The sequence below is a fragment of the Homo sapiens genome, chromosome 19 (assembly GCF_000001405.40).
Source record: "Homo sapiens chromosome 19, GRCh38.p14 Primary Assembly".
Taxonomy (NCBI): Eukaryota; Metazoa; Chordata; class Mammalia; order Primates; family Hominidae; genus Homo; species Homo sapiens.
In genome coordinates, this window is record NC_000019.10 from 27,946,868 (window position 1) to 27,968,672 (window position 21,805).

The window sequence follows — 21,805 nt, forward strand, 5'->3', positions numbered from 1 at the left end:
TGGTACATTGTGTCTCTGTTCTCATTGGTTTCAAAGAACATCTTTATTTCTGCCTTCATTTTGTTATTTACTCAGTAGTCACTCAGGAGCAGTTTCTTCAGTTTCCATGTAGTTGTGCAGTTTTGAGTGAGTTTCTCAATCCTGAGTTCTAATTTGATTGCACTGTGGTGTGAAAGACAGTTTGTTGTGACTTCTGTTCTTTTACATTTGCTGAGGAATGCTTTACTTCCAATTATCAGGTCAATTTTAGAATAAGTGCCATGTGGTGCTCAGGATGTATATTCTGTTGATTTTGGGTGGAAAGTTCTGTAGATGTCTGTTAGGTCTGCTTGGTGCAGAGCCGAGTTCAATTCCTGGATATCCTTGTTAACCTTCTGTCTTGTTGATCTGTCTAATATTGACAGTGGGCTTTTAAAGTCTCCCATTATAATTGTGTGGGAGTCTAAGTCTCTTTGTAGGTCTCTAAGGACTTGCTTTATGAATCTGGGTGCTCCTGTATTGGGTGCATATATAGGATAGTTAGCTCTTCTTGTTGAATTGATCCCTTTACCATTATGTAATGGCCTTCTTTGTCTCTTTTAATCTTTGTTGGTTTAAAGTCTGTTTTATCAGAGACTAGGATTGCAACCGCTGCTTTTTTTGTTTTCCATTTCCTTGGTAGATTTTCCTCCATCCCTTTATTTTAATCCTTTGTGTGTCTCTGCACATGAGATGGGTTTCCTGGATACAGCACACTGATGGGTCTTGACTCTTTATCCAATTTGCCAGTCTGTGTCTTTTAATTGGGGCTTTTAGCCTATTTACATTTAAGGTTAATATTGTTATGTGTGAATTTGTTCCTGTCATTATGATGTTAGCTGGTTTATTTTGCATCATTAGTTGATGCAGTTTCTTCATAGCATGAATGGTCTTTACAATTGGCATGTTTTTGTGGTAGCTGGTACTGGTTAATTCTTTCCATGTTTAGTGCTTTCTTCAGGAGCTCTTGTAAGGCAGGCTGGATGGTGACAATCTCTCTCAGCATTTGCTTGTCTGTAAAGGATTTTATTTCTCCTTCACTTATGAAGCTTAGTTTGGCTGGATATGAAATTCTGGGTTGAAAATTCTTTTCTTTAAGAATGTTGAATATTGGCCCCCACTCCCTTCTGGCTTGTAGAATTTCTGCTGAGAGTTCAGCTGTTAGTCTGATGGGCTTCCCTTTGTGGGTAACCTGACCTTTCTCTCTGGCTGCCCTTAACATTTTTTCCTTCATTTCAACTTTGGTGAATCTGGCAATTATGTGTCTTGGAGTTGCTCTTCTCGAAGAGTATCTTTGTGGTGTTTTCTGTATTTCCTGAATTTGAATGTTGGCCTGCCTTGCTAGGTTGGGGAAGTTCTCATGGATGATATCCTGAAGAATGTTTTCCAGCTTGGTTCCTTCTCCCTGTCACTTTCAGGTACACCAATCAAACATAGATTTGGTCTCTTCACATAGTCCCATATTTCTTGAAGGCTTTGTTCATTTCTTTTTACTCTTTTTTCTCTAACCTTGTCTTCTCTCTTTATTTCATTAATTTGATCTTCAGTCACTGATACCCTTCCATCCTCTTGATCGAATTGGCTATTGGAGCTTGTGCATGCATCACTAAGTTCTCATACCATAGTTTTCGACCCCATCAGGTCATTTAAGGTCTTCTCTACACTTAGCCATTTGTCTAACCTTTTTTCAAGGTTTTTAGCTTCCTTGCAATGGGTTTGAACATGCTCCTTTAGCTCAGAGTAGTTTGTTATTACCAATCTTCTGAAGCCTACTTCCATCAATTCATCAAAGTCATTCTCCATCCAGCTTTGTCCCATTGCTGGCAAGGAGCAGCAATCTTTTGGAAGATAAGAGGCACTCTGGTTTTTAGAATTTTCAGCTTTTCTGTTCTGGTTTCTCCCCATCTTTGTGGTTTTATCTTCCTTTGGTGTTTGACGCTGGTGACCTACAGGTAGGGTTTTGGTGTAGATGTCCTTTTTGTTTATGTTGGTGCTATTCCTTTCTCTGTGTTAGTTTTCCTTCTAATAGTCAGTTCCCTCAGCTGCAGGTCTGTTGGAGTTTGCTGGAGGTCCACTCCAGACCCTGTTTGTCTGGGTATCACCAGTGGAGGCTGCAGAACAACAAATATTGCAGAGCAGCAAATATTGCTGCCTAATCCTTCCTCTGGAAGCTTTGTCTCAGAGGGGCACCTGGCTGTATGAGGTGTCGGTCAGCCCCTACTGGGAGGGGTCTCCAAGTTAGGCTACACAGGGGTCAGAGACCCACTTGAGGAGGCAGTCTGTCTGTTCTCAGAGCACAAACGTCGTGCTGGGAGAACCACTGCTCTCTTCAGAACTGTCAGACAGAGACGTTTAAGCCTGCAGAAGCTGTCTGCTGCCTTTTGTTCAGCTATGCCCTGCCCACAGAGGTGGAGTCTATAGAGGCAGTAGGCCTTACTGAGCTGAAGTGGGCTCCACCCAGTTCAAGCTTCCAGCCACTTTATTTACCTACTCAAGCCTCAGCAATGGCGGATGCCCCTTCCCCAGCCGCGCTGCTGCCTCACAGTTCGATCTCAGACTGCTGTGCTAGCAGTGAGCAAGGCTCCGTGGGTGTGGGACCCACCAAGCCAGGCATGGGAGAGAATCTCCTTGTCTGCCAGTTGCTAAGACCTTGGGAAAAGCACAGTATTTGGGCAGGAGTGTCCCATTTTTCCAGGTACAGTCTGTCATGGCTTCCCTTGGCTTGGAAAGGGAAATACCCTGGCCCCTTGAGCTTCCTGGGTGAGGTGATGCCCCGCCCTGCTTTGGCCCGCCCTCCGTGAGCTGCACCCACTGTCCAACCAGTGCCAATGAGATGAACCAGGTACCTCAGTTGGAAATGCAGAAATCACCCATATTCTGCGTCGATCACGCTGGGAGCTACAGCCCAGAGCTGTTCCTATTTGACCATCTTGGAACAGATCCCCTGTAAATGCATTTAATCCAGAAATTCTACTGTGAATAATTTTTCCTGAAGGTGTATCCATGAATATAAAATAACATAAACACAAAATTTTTGTTCTATTATTTTCAATAGCAAAATATTGGAAATAACTCAAATGTCTAGAAAGGGACTGATAAAATAAAGTGATACAACAATGCAAAGGAGAACTATGGAGTTGTAAAAGGAATGAAATCTCTCTTTACTGCTGTGGAGTGATTTCCAGGTTATATTATGTAAAAAAAAAAGCAATGAGGGGCTGGGTGCAGTGGCTCACACCTGTAATCCTGCACTTTGGGAGGCCAAGGTGGGCAGATCATGAGGTTAGGAGATCGAGACCATCATGGCTAACATAGTGAAACCTCATCTCTACTAAAAATACAAAAAATTAGCCAGACCTGGTGGCAGGCACCTGTAGTCCCAGCTACTTGGGAGGCTGAGGCAGGAGAATGGCGTGAACCCGATAGGTGGAGCTTGCAGTGAGCTGAGATTGCACCACTGCAGTCCAGCCTGGGCAACAGAGTAAGACTCCATCTCAAAAAAAAAAAAAAAAAAAGCAAGGAGGAGAATGTACAGTAATATACATAAAAGAAAGCAGGGGAAACATGTATTTGCTTACTGTAAAAAAAAAAAAAACAACACTGGAAGGGATTCTTGATGATGATGTGTGACAGTTTTTCCCTTAACTTCAGTGGGTAGACAAAGTGCATATTTGCTCAAGATGTTATTTTGGCATTGGTTTTCCAGTGAATGCTAACCATTTATTTTTTGCTTTTGAGTTAATTTGTGAAAGCTTTTCTTTGTAATTTATTGTTTATTTTTTAGCATATAGATTGCTCTTGCATTTCATTTGATCCTCATAATATTTTGAATTTGTTGATATAAGAATTATACTTGTTTTACATGTGAGGACAAGGCCTCTGAGAAGTACAAATTAGGTTTTTCAAGGTTTGGATATATAAGACTTGGTAAACTGAGAGTGTAAATTCTACATAAGACTAGAATTTATAGAATGATTCATGAGTTTATTTGAATACCCTTTTTATTTTACTTTCTTAAAGTTTATTAAAGTAATTAGGCTTTAGAGTTAAAACTGTAATAGTCAGTGGTGAGAAATGAAAAGGAGGTACTTATAACCCAGAAGTGTTCTTCTTCTTTTAAAGACAGATTATTGCTCTCACTCAGGCTGGAGTGCAGTGGCACGATTGTAGCTCACTGCAGCCTTGAACTCCTGGGCTCAAGCAATTCTCCCACCTCAGAGCATCTGAAGTAGCTATGACTATAAGCGTGTACCACTATGCCTGGCTAATTTTCAAAATATGTTTTATAGAGATGAGGGTCTCACTGTGTTGTCCTGCCTGGTCTCAAACTCCTGGTGTCAAGCAATTCTCCCACATTAACCTCCCAAAGTGTTGGGATTAGAGGCATGAGTCACCACAGCTGGCTCAGAAATGTTCTTAAAAGCCTAAGAAGTAGAGTTAAGTGCTCTTAAGACATATATAGGCCAGGCGCAGTGGCTCACGCCTGTAATCCCAGCACTTTAGGAGGCCGAGGTGGGTGGATCACGAGGTCAGGAGATCAAGACCATCCTGGCTAACAAGGTGAAACCCCATCTCTACTAAAAATACAAAAAATTAGCCAGGCGTGGTGGAGGGCGCCTGTAGTCCCAGCTACTCGGGAGGCTGAGGCAGAAGAATGGCATGAACCTGGGAGGTGGAGCTTGCAGTGAGCTGAGATCACGCCACTGCACTCCAGCATGGGTGACAGTGCAAGACTCTGTCAAAAAAAAAAAAAAAAGAAACATATAAAGGGGGAAGTATACTACCTAATGTGAAATGTCACAGCTCAGTCACAGTCACTAAAACAGATCGAGGAGTTAAAAAGTTATGGCAAGACTGAGAACTGACATGGAGGAACAGCAGTGGTTAGGAAGCCCAAGGTGGGGTTGTCCGACCTGGGAAAGCAGAACCAAGGCATGAGTGAGCCTGAGATGGGCACAAAGGAGCTCCACGTGTGCCCTCAGGTGATACAGGCAGGCCAGCTCAAGGCTATCAGGTAGGTAGCATCTGATATGTGAAAAGTCTGGCCTTAGATAAAATCTCAAACTGCATCATAATTGAGAGACTTGGAATGTTTTTATGGGCCATAAAACTAATACCAGGTACAGTATAGGGATGATAGAGCAGGTCAGTAAATGCAGTAAGTCTTTACATAAACAGATGCTCAGCAGTGGGCTCAGAAAGTGTTGACGTATTTTATTTAATTGGGATATATGAAAATAATATGTTGAAATTAATCTCTTTCTCTGAATATGCTCCTTCTGTCAGTTAATTCCTTCATTACTGCCCTCTCCCTTTTAATATTTTGACAGGAAAAATTATTTCTTGCATAATTTTACAAGTTTTACGTAAGTTTACAGTTGCATAACTTTAATACCTTTGGCCTTTAATAATGCATCTTACTTATTCTAAATTGCATACATTGTTTTGTTACATTTTTAACATCTTTACAATTGAGATAGATCTTACGACTAATAGAATCTTAGAGAAAAACCGGTATTCAGTGTCAGCGAGTCTACAGATTCCTTCCTCTGAGGGATGTTTACATTTAGACCTGAGCATAACTGTTTTTTAAGTCATACGTTTCCCCATCATTCTTTTATGCTGCCAGATCACGTTGTAACTTAAATTGATAATACAAAAACACTGGGTCTTAAAATACAGTGATAGTTATAACCCCTAATCATGAGATCAAAATTATTTTCCTAGTTTCCTAGTTTCAAACATTTTAGGAGGTTACAAAAATAATTTTGAAGGTATTCACATCAAGTTGTGTAGTTATTGTGTTTTTATCCTCTGGATGTCTCTAAATCTCCACAGGTGCCTGTTTATGGGGCCTAATATTTTATTTAATAGTTGGCAGTCTTTTGTGACAATGAAAAAAGAGTAGTGTGATTTCTCGACTCTCCTTAGGCTCTTGGGAAAAGAGTTAATGGAGAATGAAGAAATAACAGTGTATGTGTTTAAGTTTCTGTCTAATGGCTTAAGTGTCCATTCTATAAAATAGCAATATGTGGTATTTGTCATCAGCAGAAATTACAAGTTATATAGAAAATTGTGGTAGGCTATAGACATAAAATGAATATTTTCTGAAAACCCCATGCAAATAAACACTAGTAAATTCCTAGTGAATTCAGTACATACAGTATGTACAAATGATATGAAACTCATCAAAGTGGAAATAACATTGTTAACTATGGAAAAATGGTCAAAGTGTATAATCTAATAAACAAATATAAGTTAGAGCCTCAATAGTGTTCCTCCTTCACATCAGTAGGAATTTTTTTAAGTATCCAAAGCTGAACTAGAAGCTAAAACTGGTGTGATTTGAAGCACTGTGCCCTAATATGCCCATATCTTCTTTAGAAAGCAACTTAGCACTATATATTGATTCATGAAAACAATCTCACCTTTGTTCTAGTCATTCCACTTTTGAAAATCTTTCCAAAGGATCTCTAAGAAAAAGTACAAGATACTATACATGAAGGTTTTCCTCATAAGAACAAAACTTTGTAAATGCCTAAATCACCGACAATAGGGCATTGGCTAAGTAAAGTATAGGAATAACACTTGATGAGCCAATATTTTCCAAAGGGGTCAAGGTCATTTGTAAGAAAATAAAACATAAATGGTGTACTGCTTAGAGCTATTTTTTTACCATGCATAAGGAAAACAAAAAGTAATGGTTGTGAGTTTTAAACAAGGCATTATTTTGGCTCTTGCAAATTTCTGTTCTTGATAAGACATTTCTTAAAGAAGTAAGCAAGAGACTTTTACCTATTCCTGCCTTTAGTGTAATCATCAGTACTATCAGCAGTGCTGACTAACCAAGTCTCTTACAATTGCCAGTTGAAGAAAATCTACCTCAAAATAGTTAAAAATGTTTATTGAAAAATTAACTTGCATAGCCAGGGAGTTAACAGGAGTCAGTGAGGCACTGCTTGACCAAGGAATCAAATGATATCCCCAGAACCTATCTCAGTTATGCTCTTCTCTGTTGATCTCTCCTGAAAATACCCTTCTCTTGATGGTAATGGGAGCCACTGGCAACTCCTGGTCAGCTACCAGTCCTGTGAGCCAGTTCATCCTTTCTCCTCTAGTTCTTGGGAAGTCCCAGATGAACTGCGATTGACTGGCCAACCTCTCGGTCAGATGCCTAAAACCCCAGGAATGGGAGAGTGACAGCTTGTTACTTGGGCTGATCTTGTTTTATTTCCTGTATGTTTTCATTTCTTCTTGATTTTTGTATTGAAATACACAATAGCACATCTTGGTTTTATGTGTGGGGTATATGTGTATGGGCGTAAGCCTGCTACTTTTTGAATCTTGTACATAATTTTCCTGGGCTTCCATGGAAAATTCCAAATTAAACATTATGACACAGGTACTGAAACATTATATGAGTTCTGCAAACATTACTTGTTATGTTTCACACTCAAATGATAATATATTTGCTTTTTTGATACAAAGTAGTCATGGACTTTTTCAGAAGCTTTAGGTTAGGGACGGCTATACAAGTCTCTTCCTGTCATGTTGTGCACAAACAATTTTATTTTTCCACATAGCTAACATTATATCATCAAATTTTCAAATATGTGGGAAAAAACTTGAAAATGACTTTTGTGTAAGTTTTTTACATAACAATAGTTTTCTCCCAGTAAACTTCAAATCATGGAGAAAAAGCAGATTTTTTAGCTATGTAATATTCTAGTGAGATGGCAGTATTATTAAAATAGATGATTCGGATTTCTGCTAAATCAGAAACTCCTAAATTATTTTTATACTAGATTCTAACCACTTTAGTTGGAGGGAAGAAAAGGATCCTGGGTAGATAAATTTGTGAAATGCTGAGTTGGACATTATTCACTAACGGGCTGATTAGTTTTTACTGTACCACTGTGCACTTTGATTTTGTAAAAGCAAGGGATAGAGTGGATTGTGATTTGCCCACTAAAACCCTTTTTAAAAAGTAGAACAGTTACTAATATGTGATTTGGAAAATATTGCCTTAATTATTACTCTGAGTGGATCTTCACCTAGTTTCTTACAAGATTGCTTAAGATAAGTGGGTTGAGATGGACAGTGCTGAGGAGTGTCATAGGTTTTTATTGTTTTCCCTTATTACACCTTTTATTATATGATGAAAATGTGTAATAAAAATTCAAGAATATTATTTTTAGTCTTGCTTAAATGGATTATCTCACTTTGGTGCAAGGTGGACTGTAAACAGACCTACCTTGACATACATAGGGCCAACATTTTTTAGAAGAAGGTCTAAGTAAGATCTGTTTCAAAAGTATTCTTGATGAAGTCCCAAATGAATCATGTGTTGGAAAGAAGTGAGATTTTAGCTTTGGAAATGGAGGGCAAAAGTTAAAAATCATTTTCTGACATGAAAGTGTCCTTATAGATTAGAGCATTGAAATTTTTATGCAGTCCACTTAAATCTGCCATGATGAATTGCCCCTGAATAAATCACAGATAAGTAAATGAATTAGCCATGTTATTTTCTGAGGGATAGTGGCCAAAAAACAGCTCTTTATTTTAGCATGTTTGATATATTGAGCTAATGTCTGACAGTAATTTCACACAGCATCAGTTGCTGCTTGAGCCTATTCCTAAAATGTGCTGCGAATATCAGTAGAGAGGCAAGTGATTATATTTTTATTTGATAAGTAGAAGTGGTAGATGCAGGAGGCAGATGAGGGGGAGGGTGTCCGGAGAATCTGTGACCTGCCTGTGCACTGGGAGAATGGGGTGGGGTCACGGGAAGTTTGCATCTTGTGCAGTGGGGAGGAGCCTGGCCTCTTCAGCTTGTGTGTGGTGGCCTGGTATTCAGTCTGTGAGTTGGGAGCCCGCTGGAAGGATCCCCTCTCGCTTTTCTGAGATTTTTTGTTCCTTTTTGCCAAATAAATTCTGTTCTACTCACCCTTCAATGTGTCCTTGAGACTAATCTTTCTTGGTCGTGTGACAAGAACCTGGTTTTAGCTGAACTAAGGAGCAGAGTTTTGCAGCAGAAGGAGCAGGGCATGTATATGACTTCTCTTTTGCATTAGATTATTTAGTTTTAGTCTTTTTGAAAGTCCTTGACATAGCCCAGTTTTATTCCATATGTATACAGAGAGGCTATAATTTTGCATTCCCAAGTAGAATTATTATATTTTTGCCTTTATTTCCTTCATATTTATTACTAGAAACTTTTTTCAGGACTATTTAAAATGATTGAAATGAATGTGTAGCTACTTTAAAAATCATTTTTTCTATTCGCATAAATTATCACATTTTTTTTTCTCTGTAGATAGAGCTTTGGAGCCAAACCCTTCTGATGATCCAAGGGCAAGCACAGTCTTCTTGCAAAAATCTCAAACAGATGGTGAGACGACACTGTTTTTTCCACCAAGAAGACGACTGAAAACTCTCTGTCATAATGAGTGTATTATAGAAAGCATTTAGAGAAACTTACATTGGTTTAAAATTTTCAACTTTTCATATATTCACTTGTCCTATTTTAATGTGTGAAATACTTCTCTTTAGTTGTTACTGTGTGAGTGAAAACATGTAAACTTTCTGTTTATACATTTTGCTACCTTTTGGCAACACCATTTGTCATGTGATTTAAGAGTAGTCATAGATTTATCTTTATTCATAATTTTTTATTCATATTTTTTGTCTTTCGCCCTTTTTCCCTTGCTCCAAAGAGTTCATTTTAATGATGAATGATAGAATTTAGGCTTCAGCTTGATCTTTATTTAAACAAATAAAAAAACCATTTGTTCATCAATGGGGATTGAATTTGTGATTTCAGCCTCCTCTTATACAGTGCTTTAACCATATGAGCTTATCACATCCAAGTTTATGCTACTCAAAACTTTTAAGCTATTAAACTTTTCCTGCTAATGTAATATAAATTTAAACATCCAGTACTCCTGCTTATATTTTAAATGTTATGGTAAATCCTAGTTTATTTGATTAAAAAGCCATATACAACCAAGTTTTTTAGTTGATTTCAACAGCAAGAATATAAATGAGGGTTCTATAATAATATTTGAAGTAATGCAGTACAATAAAATTTGGGTTTCTAATTGTGCTTTTATGGTTTGTGTGGATTTTGCCTGCCTTAAGTCAGTCATCTCTGGTCAGGACTTGTGTTTGTTCATTTTTGCATTGCTATAAAGAAATACCTGAGTCTGGGTAATTTATTTTTTAAAAAAGTTTAATTGGGTCCTAGTTCCGCAGGCTTTATGAACATAGCTTCAACACCTGCTTCTGCTGAGGGCCTCAGCAAGCTTACAATCATAATGGAAGGCAAAGGGAGAGCAGGTGGTTTCACATGAGAGAGGGAGCAAGAGAGAGGGGAAGGGGGAAGGTGCCACACTCTTAACTAGCTCTTATGTAAATTACCAGAATGAGAATTTGCTCATTATTGTGAGGATGGCACCAAGCCATTCATAAGGAATCCACTGCCATTACCCCAACACCTCCCAGGAGGCCCTGTCTCCAACATTGAGGGTCACATTCTCATATGACATCTGGAGGGGGCGAAATATCTAAACCATATAAGAATTGTATTTCTCAGTTCCTTCCAGAGCCATGGGCTTCTCACAGAGTGTGTGGAAGCCCTGAAGGCTATTTCCTGTCCCTCAAGTCTTCAGTGGTAGGAATGTTTGCCTTTAAGGCCTTCCAGCATCAAAGGAGGAGGCAGTGTAGGAAACAAAGCATGGCCCAAGTCCCTCTTGGAGCTTTTATTATTCTGGCCTTTGTTAGAAAAAAAAAATGATTTTGTTTGCTGCAGATACTATGTCCAATTAAGTTTGCATACTCATTTTAAAATTTAAATGTAAGATAGGTTACTTTCCAGTTGTGCAAAGACACATTTTTTTTGTTAGTGACATATTAGTAGATGACCAATAAGTGGTTTGAGATGCTTACAGGGATTCTGGTGCATCTACAGATTTGTACCTTGCCAGGAACTAGTTCTTAGAGCTGCTAGCTCTTAGATTCTAGTAATTAAAGTAAGCCATGTGTAAACACAGAGTGAGAAAATACCAATGAATCATGGCTCATATATGCAACAGTTGTTAAACTTATTTATTAGCTAAATTTCTCATCTGGCTTAATTTGTTATGCCCCTTTTTTTGTACATGAGCATTCTTTCATTTGACTGTAATAGAATAGATGATAGATGATAGATAGATAGATAGATAGATAGATAGATAGATAGATAGATATTTTTTTTACCCCGAGATGGAGTCTTGCTCTGTCGCCCACAGCTGGAGTGCAATGGTGCGATCTTGGCTCACTGCAACCTCCGCCTCCTGATTCAAGTCATTCTCCTGCCTCAGCCTCTCAAGTAGCTGGGATAACAGGTGCATGCCACCATGCCTGGTTATGAATGTAATAGAATATCTGTTAGGACAAAAAGTAAAGCCAAATTTTTAGATTTTACTTTATAAGATTTATTAGGCCCTATAATTTAAGTTATAAATAGTTGGAAATTATTTTTAAATGGAATTTTGTCTCATTTACATAGAGATAATCAATCAGATGTTAGCAACTATTTTATTTTATATTTGTATCAGAACTGATTTTTTTTATTCTTAGTTCAAGAAAAGAGAAAGAGCAACGACATGAACCATGTAAGTAAATAGTCACAAAGTTAAGAAATTCATAGTTTGAAGTAAAATATGTCTATCTTGATTCCTTAAAAATAAAATGAGGACCCAGTGTTATTAGCATGGAACTCTCTTTGTGGACTTTGTAAATCTCTTCTATCTTTCCAAGTATCAGATTTATGCAGAAAAGTCTTTAGCTTAGTGTGTCCATCTTTTAAAGGATCTGACATGCAAGTTAAATTTTAAGAATGTGGTTGGTATAAAGATCTTTATTTAATCTTAAAATAAATCAAACAACAAAATTAGAATAACTAAGTTAATTTTCCACACTGTCTATTGACTTTCTGGTATAGCAGGTAAAAGCACAGCTTTCTGGGTATACCATGACATTATTTTTTTCCCATTGCTTTGTCCAATTGTAGCACATTTTTATTAAATCAGTAATATTTACATGATTCTGCTTATGCCAGTATTATTTACTGCTAAGTCATACGGTGTTTCAGCTGTGCATCTTCATTACGTATCCTTCATTCCTTTAAACAGTTCTGGCATCTGAGCACTTCTTCACTTCTCCCAGATAATCCTTTTCCTGGCCTATGTTAGTTTACCCAGCCAAATGCAGTAAGTAGCCGTTGGCTGGTCTCTCTGCTTTCACATCCTGTAATTTTTAGCATAGAATTAATTGTCTGACTATATTCATTTGCCTGTCTCTAACAGTTATTCTTACCCCAAGTGTTGTAATATTTGTCACATGCATATCAAAAATATTCATCAGCTCAAATACATCTGTTTTATATTTCTCTTGGGGCAATTTTCCTTGGCCTTTTGTCATCCTAGTTCAGTGTAGAGTGGCTTTCCTAGATGTGCTACATGCTTGCTTTTCTAAGCTATCTCTTGAAAGTCTTCTGAGATCTCACTTAACTGCCCTCTTCTGTGAGATTCCCTGAGTCCTAGATTCTGTGTTTCCTTCTGCCTTGTTATCTTCTCTAGTTGTACTAGAGCACATTTTCCTGGGAAAGGGCACATGGGAACATGTTTAGAGACCCAGCCAATCTTAAAACCCTTCTTCTTTGATACAGTATAAAATTTTAGGTTGCAAACAACTAAAATGCATACTAATAGAAATAACTCAATTTATAACAATATAGTTAGAATTAATACCAAGTTAATTTCAGTAGTATATAAAATCTTGCTTCTAAATAGCTCTGTTCTCTACCCTCTTCTTTGTGTTATTGTTATACAAATTACTTCTGAATACACTATTAGCCAAAAAAAAAAATTTAGGTTGAAACTAAATGTTACAGTTCTAAAGGTATTTTGTAATTGTGTTCTTATTATAGTATTGTTTTTTAATCTGTTGCCATTGTGTGATACATTATTTGTAACCGGGTTTTACATATCTCTAGAAGCTTTTCAGGACCTTCTTTCTCTCTGGGATTCTGAAATTTTATAATGCAGCTTGGTGTGGGGATCTTTTCTCTTTATTGGGGCTACTAAGTCTTCAGATTATCTCTTCTAGAGAATTTCTTTTCTTCTCTATTTTCTCTGTTAAATTTTTCTGATATTCTTGTTATTCAGATGCTGGGCTGCTTAGACTCCTGTATCCGCATTGGTTTTTAATCCCCCACCCCCTCCTATTTTCCAGTTTGTCTTTTCATTCTACTTCTTGGATATTTTTTTACTTTATAGTTTAATATTTCTCATGTTTCTCTTGTTGAGGGCATTTTTTTAAAGTTTTGCTCCAAAATTTTTACTGGTCCCATGAATTATTTTTTCCTGTTGTTTTGATCTCTCTTGAATGGTGGTCCTTGGCTTTCATTGGAAGCAGGACTTCTGTTCACGAAGGAGACTCACTGTGAGGTTTTGGAAATGAAGCCAGCATTTCATTTGGGGGACTTCAGTGTATTATCTGGGGATCTTTACTCTGGGACCATTCCATTCCTTCCGAGAAGGCTCTCCCAATTTTCTGCCTGGGATGTAAAAGCATGGCTACTTGCTTTCCAGAAGCAGAGGTGGAGTTGTGTTTCTTGCTGTACAGTTTTTTTCCATCTCTCAGGTTTTAGCTATGGTATCTCTGAACCCAGAAATTTCAGGTTTTATATATCCAGAGAACACACATTTAAATTCCTTGTAAGATGGAAGGACAGGTAGACTTGGGGATCTAACCACAGATTTTCAACTGACCTCGCTCGCTTTTATTTTATGTCTCACCCTACTTTCAGAGATGCCATTTCCCTTTAAGTTGAAGTCTGCCTTGGGTTCTGGAAGACAAACTGGCTTGCTTGTTTCTGTTCCAGTCACTTCTTGTAGGCACCAAAGTTGTGCTACCATGCCAGTTACCACTCCATTATCTACTTTTTATAATTCAGCATTTATTAAAAATCATCAGTGTCAATCTTCCCTATTGGTCCTGCATATAACTTGAGTTATATGAGTAATTCTAATGAAATTTCAGGAGAGAGGGAATAAATTTATGGTCAATCTATTACATTTAACCCAAATTTATGACCTATATTTAAAGTGTAAATTATAATTTAATTTCAATATAATTAATATTAATCCAGATAATTTTACTTATATATTTATAATAAACATTACACTTTTATACCATTACCTTTTTAAATTTTCTTTTTATTTCTGAGACAAGGTCTCACTCTATCATTCAGGCTGGAGTGCAGTGGTACAATCTCACCTCACTGCAATCTCCACATCCCAGGTTCAAGCGATTCTCCCACCTCAGCCTCCTGAGTAACTGGGATTACAGCGCCCACCACTGTACCCGGCTAAATTTTAGTAGAGACAGGGTTTCATCATGTTGACCAGGCAGGTCTCGAACTCCTGACCTCAAGTGATCTGCCTGCCTTGGTCTCTCAAAGTGCTGGGATTATAGGTGTGAACCACTGTGGCCAGCCCTTGTTTAGTATTCCTATTCAAATTTTATACCCTGCCATATTGTTCCATTACTTCACACTATAAATGGAGCTGTTTTCATTAATGCCCAAAGTGTTAGAAGTATTAAATTAAAATGTGTTCATTTTTAGCGTGGTCAACATAGCAAGACTGCATCTCTACAAAAACATTAAAAAACAAATTAGCCAGGCATGGTGGCATGTCCCTGTTGTCTCACCTACTCAGCAGGCTAAGGCAGAGGATTACTTGAGCCCAGGAGTTTGAGGCTGCTGTTAGCTCTGATTGTGCCATTGCACTCCAGCCTGGGCAGCAAAGTGAGACTCTGTCTAAAAAAAAAAAAGTTAATTTTTTGAAAAATACCTAAAATTTGTCCTCCCAAAAAGGAGAGAGACAGAAGTAAACTTTAGAATTTTCAATGGGCTAAAACAAAAGGCAGCAGGTACAATGAAAAAAAGTCAGTATAGGAGTTCAACAGATACTGGACCTTTGATGGTAATGTTTTGGTTTTGGCTTACTAAACTATAAGGTATGATGATTTTCTAGTCTTCATTATTCAACCTTAAGAATACTAAGTAACACTTTCCATTTTGTGTTAAAGTTTGTAAAATTTTATATTCTTGGTATTTATGCTGACTGAATGAAGATAATTTGTTCCTTTCTAGTTTTGACTACCTGAAATAATACCTATAAATGGTAAATTGTTACTGTATTTGATATAATTAAATATAGTAAGATTTATCTTCCAAATTGGAACTGATTTAATTAATTTGTCAAGCACTTGTTGAACTTTTAAACTTGTCCAAAATTCTGTGCTCAGCATCTCCAGGTAGAGAAGAAAGGACTCTCCCTTCCTTGGAAAGACCTACTTTCTTATGAGGGGAATACTCTGTAAGAATTGGTATCATGTGACAAGTTGTGAATTAGACTGACTAGTTTACAAAAATGGAAATATTCTGTGGTGTGGTTGCTGGCAAAGGAATCACAGAGGGTAAATGGGGTCAAGTTTGCTGGGACAAAGAAAAAGAATCCTAGGCAGAGAGCAGCAGGAAACTGTGTGGCAGGAAAATGCCTATGCGCAGGTCAAATGACTTGTAGAATAAAATGAATCAACTTTGGAAATGAATGGAAAGTACTCTCCGAGAGTCTCATTTGAGTGATGTCCTGGCAGTCTTATTGAAACATGAAGTGAAAGTTAAATTCGTAGAGTTGTCTTTGTTATCTGTTTTCAGGATGTGAGAGAATATTAAAGTGATAGTCTTTTTATCTTCTATGTAAGAAAACAGGACTAGAGAATGCTATGGCTTTCTCTGTTGTTGGTTATGGAGCAGCCCTGGCACACAGAGCCTCTGAATCTAAAACACTTGTTTTGTCCCACTGTCTCCTGGAATATTACATTTAGGATTAGTAACTTAGTAATGTAGCATTAGTCTTCATTCATTGCAATAAAATGCTCTTGTGCCAATATTATTTAATGCATTACAGCTTATTGCAGTAAGTAAATAATAGAAAATCTCAGCTGCTTTATATTGCTTTAAAAACACTGACATCTTAAACATTTCTCATTTATAAAGAAGGGGAATTCACAATAGACGCTTGCCAGGTCTGATGATAGGTACCATATTAAGGGCAGCCTTTTATAACCCATTTCTCAAACATCCTCTATTGAATTTAAGAGCCTCCAATGGGTTTCCTATGGAGTGCACATAAGTCCACACTCAGTTCACGAAGTGTAAGAAGTACCTTAGTACTTTGTCATTTGACATTTTAACCAATGGGAAAAAATACACTTTTATAGGTTTAACTTACTGTGATGTTTTCTTCTATTTCCTTTCCCCTTCAGGTATCTACTAAGCATTTTACTAAAAAGTACAGCTCGTGTTCAACCATATACCTAGATGACAGCACAGCCAGCCAGCCTCATCTTACAATCATAGTAAAATCGTGAGTACAACTATGATGTCAAGGGACACAGCCCCTTATTCTAAGATCATCCTAGCCATCCTCGGTTATTTCAGCCGTTTGATTGTCCTTTTGGGCAATCAGTTTAAGAAACTGGTGTCAACTATATATTGATTTCTGATTCTATATATTAGTTTTCAAAAAAATACTAATTTTCAGTTTCTCCTTTAACTTTAGATTTCACGTTGGAAGGGAAAATTAGTTAGCAAATAATCAATCCCTGGAAAAGTATAGTTATTTATTTGATGCTTTTATGCCTTATGACAATGTTGAACACAATGAGTAAGATAGGTGTCCTTTATAGGATGTTTTCCCCCCAAAAAAAGGTTTCTTATGAGTTACAGGCCTAAATCAATCAATGTGTACTAGTTTTGACATTAATCTTGGAAGAAAGAACAACTTTTTCTCTACTGGCACCGTAGTGTATCTGCATTTGACTTCCCTTCATTTTGCATGAATACCTCATAGGGCACAAGTGAAGATGCACTTTTAGAACAACCTAAGACGAGCCTTTCAAGTTTATTTTAAAAGCAACAACAACAACAACACCAGCTCTGTTGGGGTTGTCTAGAGAACATCATTATCATCTGCTTGGATTATGAGCGTTTAATTTTTGGAACACAGTTTTAGAACACAGTTTGGAAAGTGCTAATTTAGAATATTAATGTCTTTATCTTTCATTGTACTTCTTTTTCTTCACAAGAGGATGGTTGTCAGTTTTACTTTTCATTCTATAAACATAGCTAGCTTATAAACAATTTTGTTTCTAATGCACTAGCTTTCCTAGCCAAACCAATTGTCAGTAACTTCTATTTTAATTAAAAGTAGGAAGTTTACACTCATGATAATGTCACTTTTCTATCTCACTTCTAACAGTGGTTGAGATAAAATTGTGTTTCAGCAAAAACTTGACTCAAACTCTGTCTAAAGTCTTAAGCTTTGTGACCTATTAAGTAATCCCTAAACTTCTGTATTCAGCCAAGTCTCTAAACCCTTGGGAAAAAAAATTACTGTACTTTGGCTAGAGTCCCTGGCTTCTATTCAAAAGATTGTAATATGTTAGTATACAATTCAAAAGTAGTTTTAAAGATTAATCTTGCTCAAACAAGTATTCATAAAGTTTATGTTTTTTTCCTCCATCATTCTAATTTTTAGAATTCTACTTTTGGAAGTGTAGTAAGTTTTAATTTTCTGTCAGCAAGTTTGAGAAATTATCACTTGGTATATTCACTATTGGTAACATAAAGGTTTATTGAGCAAATTAATAGGGCAAAATGGGTTTATGAACAGATTTTGGAAAATGTTTTATATAGGTGAGTAGAGCATTGTTCTCAATGGAATGCATGGACCACATTTGATTACTTACGCAAGTTTTCTTAAAATATATGTCTGCAATCACATGCCTCTTCCTACCTCCACCTCTCCTTCAACTCTAGGCACTCAGAAGCCTTTTAAGAAAATAGGGATGGATGTGAGGCATTCTTATATGGATAAAAGCATCTCAGAAGATTCTGCTTTGAACCCCAACCCAATCATTCGGAAACCCTGCTGTACATTGGAATCACTTGGGAAATTTTAACAACCACCCTGATGTTCAAAGTTATACACAATGCTAATTAAATCAAAATGTCTCATGTTAAAAAGAAGGCAGTTTTTAAAGCTCTTCAGGTGATTCCAACGTGCAGCAAAGTTTGAGAGCTACTGCCTGATTTGAATTTAGGACAACAAGCTGCTCCTATTTGGTGGGACCTTGGGCAAGTCAATTTTAAACATTCTTTTTCTTATCTGTAAAATGGTGTTGGATTCAATGTCATTTAGATCATTGGTCCTTTTCAGCAGGTAACTTCACATTGTGTGATTTTAAAATTATTTTAGAGATTAAAAACTTCTTGAAGCACTATAGACATAGCCATCTTAGATACTAATGTTACAGGCTTTTAAAAACATGCTAATATTATATAAACCTATTGTTAAATTCAGATTTGCCTTCCCTCAATTATTTGAGCCTCATTTTAGATGCTGTGGGCACATGGAAAAACATAACTTATGTTTCCTAATACACAGTGTCTGTAGACAACTTAAGAATACAGTAACATATATCTGAAGAGTTTTACTTGTTCATAAATATTTCACTTAAACTAATTGAAAGTACCTGCCCTTAATATTATACTGTGTAGTGCTATGCTGCATTATCGTTAGCACTGCTTATTTTCAGAAAGCTATCACTGATTTTGTGTGTACCTAGGTTTACTAACATGAATTATGCAAAAGTTATTGTAAATGATTTAATTTGGTATAAAACACTTTTATCATTAATTTTTAGGAAATCATAAAACACGGATGGGTAGGAGATAGTTAATTAAATCAACTAAAGTGCAGGGCCTAACAACTTAAAAAAAACACTACTGTATGTCTTAAATTTAAGCATATGTACACATAGGTATAAATTGCATGGGATGAAAGGTTTTGTGGGTAGAAGAGCATCTAACAGGGAAATATGTTATTATTTATATATTATAATCATCAACAGAAACATGTCTTCTAACAGTATATTGCCTAGCATTTTGATCCTCGTATTTTTGTTAAAAGACAAAAAACTAAAACAAGAATATAGTGCCCTAATGGTACTGTTCTGAAGTAGAAGATTTAAATTTCAGGGCCACTGGGATAATTTCTTCCTCCCCCCTTTTAAAAAAAGTTTTTAGACCCAACAAATGATAAAATCCATTGTTATGATTTTTTCTCTTTCCGTAGTGTGGCCTTAGCAATATATTATCACATGAAGAAAAGGTGAGTTCTTTTAAAACCTTTCTTGTTATTCCAACTCATTACTTTTTATAATATCAATCTCAGTGTTAGTTCATAGCTATAGACACCATAAGCTGTATTGTGCCTACTGAAATATTGAAGCATATTATTTGTGTTTTCTTTCACCCTTGAGACTCTTTAAGTCCTAACTTATTGAGAATCCCAAAGAATCTGTGTTTATATACTGTGTAAGAAATTAAAATTGAGATTTTTAAAAAATCTGCTTCTGGCTTGGATTTTACTACCTCAGCACTATTGATAACTTTGAGCTAGATAACGCTTTGTTGTGAGGAAATAAATGCTTTGTTGGTGCATTACAGGAAGTTTAGCAGCATTGATGGCCTTTACCCACTAGATGTCAGTAGTAAGCAATAACCCAGGTTGTGACAACAAAAATATTTTCTGAAAACTATATCGTTAACATAAATAGCATTTTTTAAAGAAAAATAACTTCTCTACAATAAAAAGTTGAGTAAAAAGTGTGTCATGCATTGATATTATTGCAAACCTCTAAAGTTTGGCATAATAGAAGACAGATGGATTCCCTTCACAATATTTTTAGAGAAGCAATAAGATGATCAAGCTTTTTGCAAATATATAGTTACTAAAAGGTGTATCTTTAATGTTTTTAGATAATTGTGAGTGTTCTTTAATACTACCTCAAAACTCCCCTGTAACTAGTTTCTTAGTTACAGGGGAATTTTGCATATCAATACATTTATTCCATCAATACTCACTGATTTTTCTTGTGCAGTAAATGGGTCTTTCCCCCATGCTTGCTTGTATAAGAGTATGCATTGGTTATTTGGGAAATAATGGTTTATGTTTTGTTGTGTCAAAAACTCACTTTTGTTAGTATCACCATGTCTTATTAAGAGCTCTTTAAGTATTGAGAAGCTGTCGAGTTTACGGTAGGAGTGTGTTTTCCAAAGTTCTGGGTTTTAGCCTGAAAGCTTGACTATTATCATTGAGAACAGTTATTCTCTTTTTTTGTTTAACTTTTATATTAAGTTCATGGGTATATGTGCAGGTTTGTTACATAGGTGAACTTGTGTCATGGGGATTTGTTGTACATATTATTTCTCTGCCCGGGTATTAAGCCTAGTACCCATTAGTTATTTTTTCTGATCCTCTTCCTCTTCTCACCTTCTACCCTCCAAAAGATTTCAGTGTGTGTTGTTCCCCTCTATGTGTTAATGTGTTCCCATCATTTAGCTCTCACTTACCAATGAGAACATGTGATATTTGGTTTTCTATTCTTGTGTTAGTTTGCTAAGGATGATGGCCTCCAGCTCCATTCATATTCCTGCAAAGGACATGATCTTGTTCTTTTTATGACTGCATAGTATTCCATGGTATATATGTACCACATTTTCTTTATACAGTCTAACATTGATGGGCATTTATGTTGATTTCATATCTTTGCTTTTGTGAATAGTGCTACAGTAAGCCTATGTGTGCGTGTGACTTTATAATAGAATGATTTATATTCTTTTAGGTATATAGCCAGTAATGGGATTGGTCGGTTGAATGGTAATTCTGTCTGTAGGTCTTTGGGGAATCTCCAGACTGTCTTCCACAATGGTTGAACTAATTTACACTTTCACCAATAGGGGAACACTTATTTTTCATTGATGTAAAAGGCTTACTTTATTCATTTTTGAGAATGATAGTCAGTTGTACTTTTAAATAAAAACAATATTTTATTTAAAAAAGTGATTATTCAGTTTACATTTAAATCATTGTTTCTTTTTCTTAACACAACCATACTGCAGTAAGAAGAAGTGCTTCTTGTTAACTTTCCACTTATTCAGAGTATTAAATAGGAAGGCAAAGATTTAATAATACCATTAATTGTTACTGCTTCATCAAAGACATTCTTAACTAAATCAGGCTCTCTTTTTTAACTGTAAGGGGCTGTGGAGAATAGAATGACTTCTAGTGTAATTTGATCACCTTGATTTATGCTGAGAAACCTTGATTTATGCTGAAAAACCAGCTATTTCACCCACTTTTGCTTTTATAAAATCATGGCAAGTGTCACAGTGAGAAAGCAGGCAATGCCTTCATATCCTTTTAAAAATTATTTTAATTTATTTTTTATTTTTAATCAGCTTTCTCAGGCTGAAATAGTATTTTTATCAGAACAGTTTTGACTGCTTGGGCCTCATGAAAAATGGCCTGCATAGTATTCCATGGTATATATGTACCACATTTTTTATACAGTCTAATATTGATGGGCATTTATGTTGATTCCATATCTCAGGCTGAAATAGTATTTTTATCAGAACAGTTTTGACTGCTTGGGCCTCATGAAAAATGGTCTAGGGGATCTCCAGAGGTCCACAGAGCACATTGCAAGAACCATTGGTTTATTAAACAGGCAAAATGTATTAGTTGTATTAACCTCTTAAGTTCATCAAAGACTGGCCTGTTTGAAAATAAAAAGACAGATTAAGTTTTTAATTCAAACTACTTAA

At 36.5% G+C, this 21,805-nt stretch overlaps 1 long non-coding RNA gene across 3 annotated transcripts in view; it reads left to right on the forward strand.

Moving 5' to 3' along the window:
• The window catches only part of LINC02987 (long intergenic non-protein coding RNA 2987), a 231,539-nt gene that overhangs the window by 153,437 nt on the left and 56,297 nt on the right, over positions 1–21,805 (forward strand). The window contains exons 3-5 of one of the 3 annotated variants that reach the window (NR_146734.1): positions 9,335–9,409; positions 16,399–16,499; positions 19,272–19,307. This is a non-coding gene — a long non-coding RNA (long intergenic non-protein coding RNA 2987). Of the gene's footprint in view, positions 1–9,334; positions 9,818–16,398; positions 16,500–19,271; positions 19,308–21,805 lie in introns of those variants that run through there. The other 2 variants (NR_146733.1, NR_146735.1) reach the window with 2 other exon arrangements.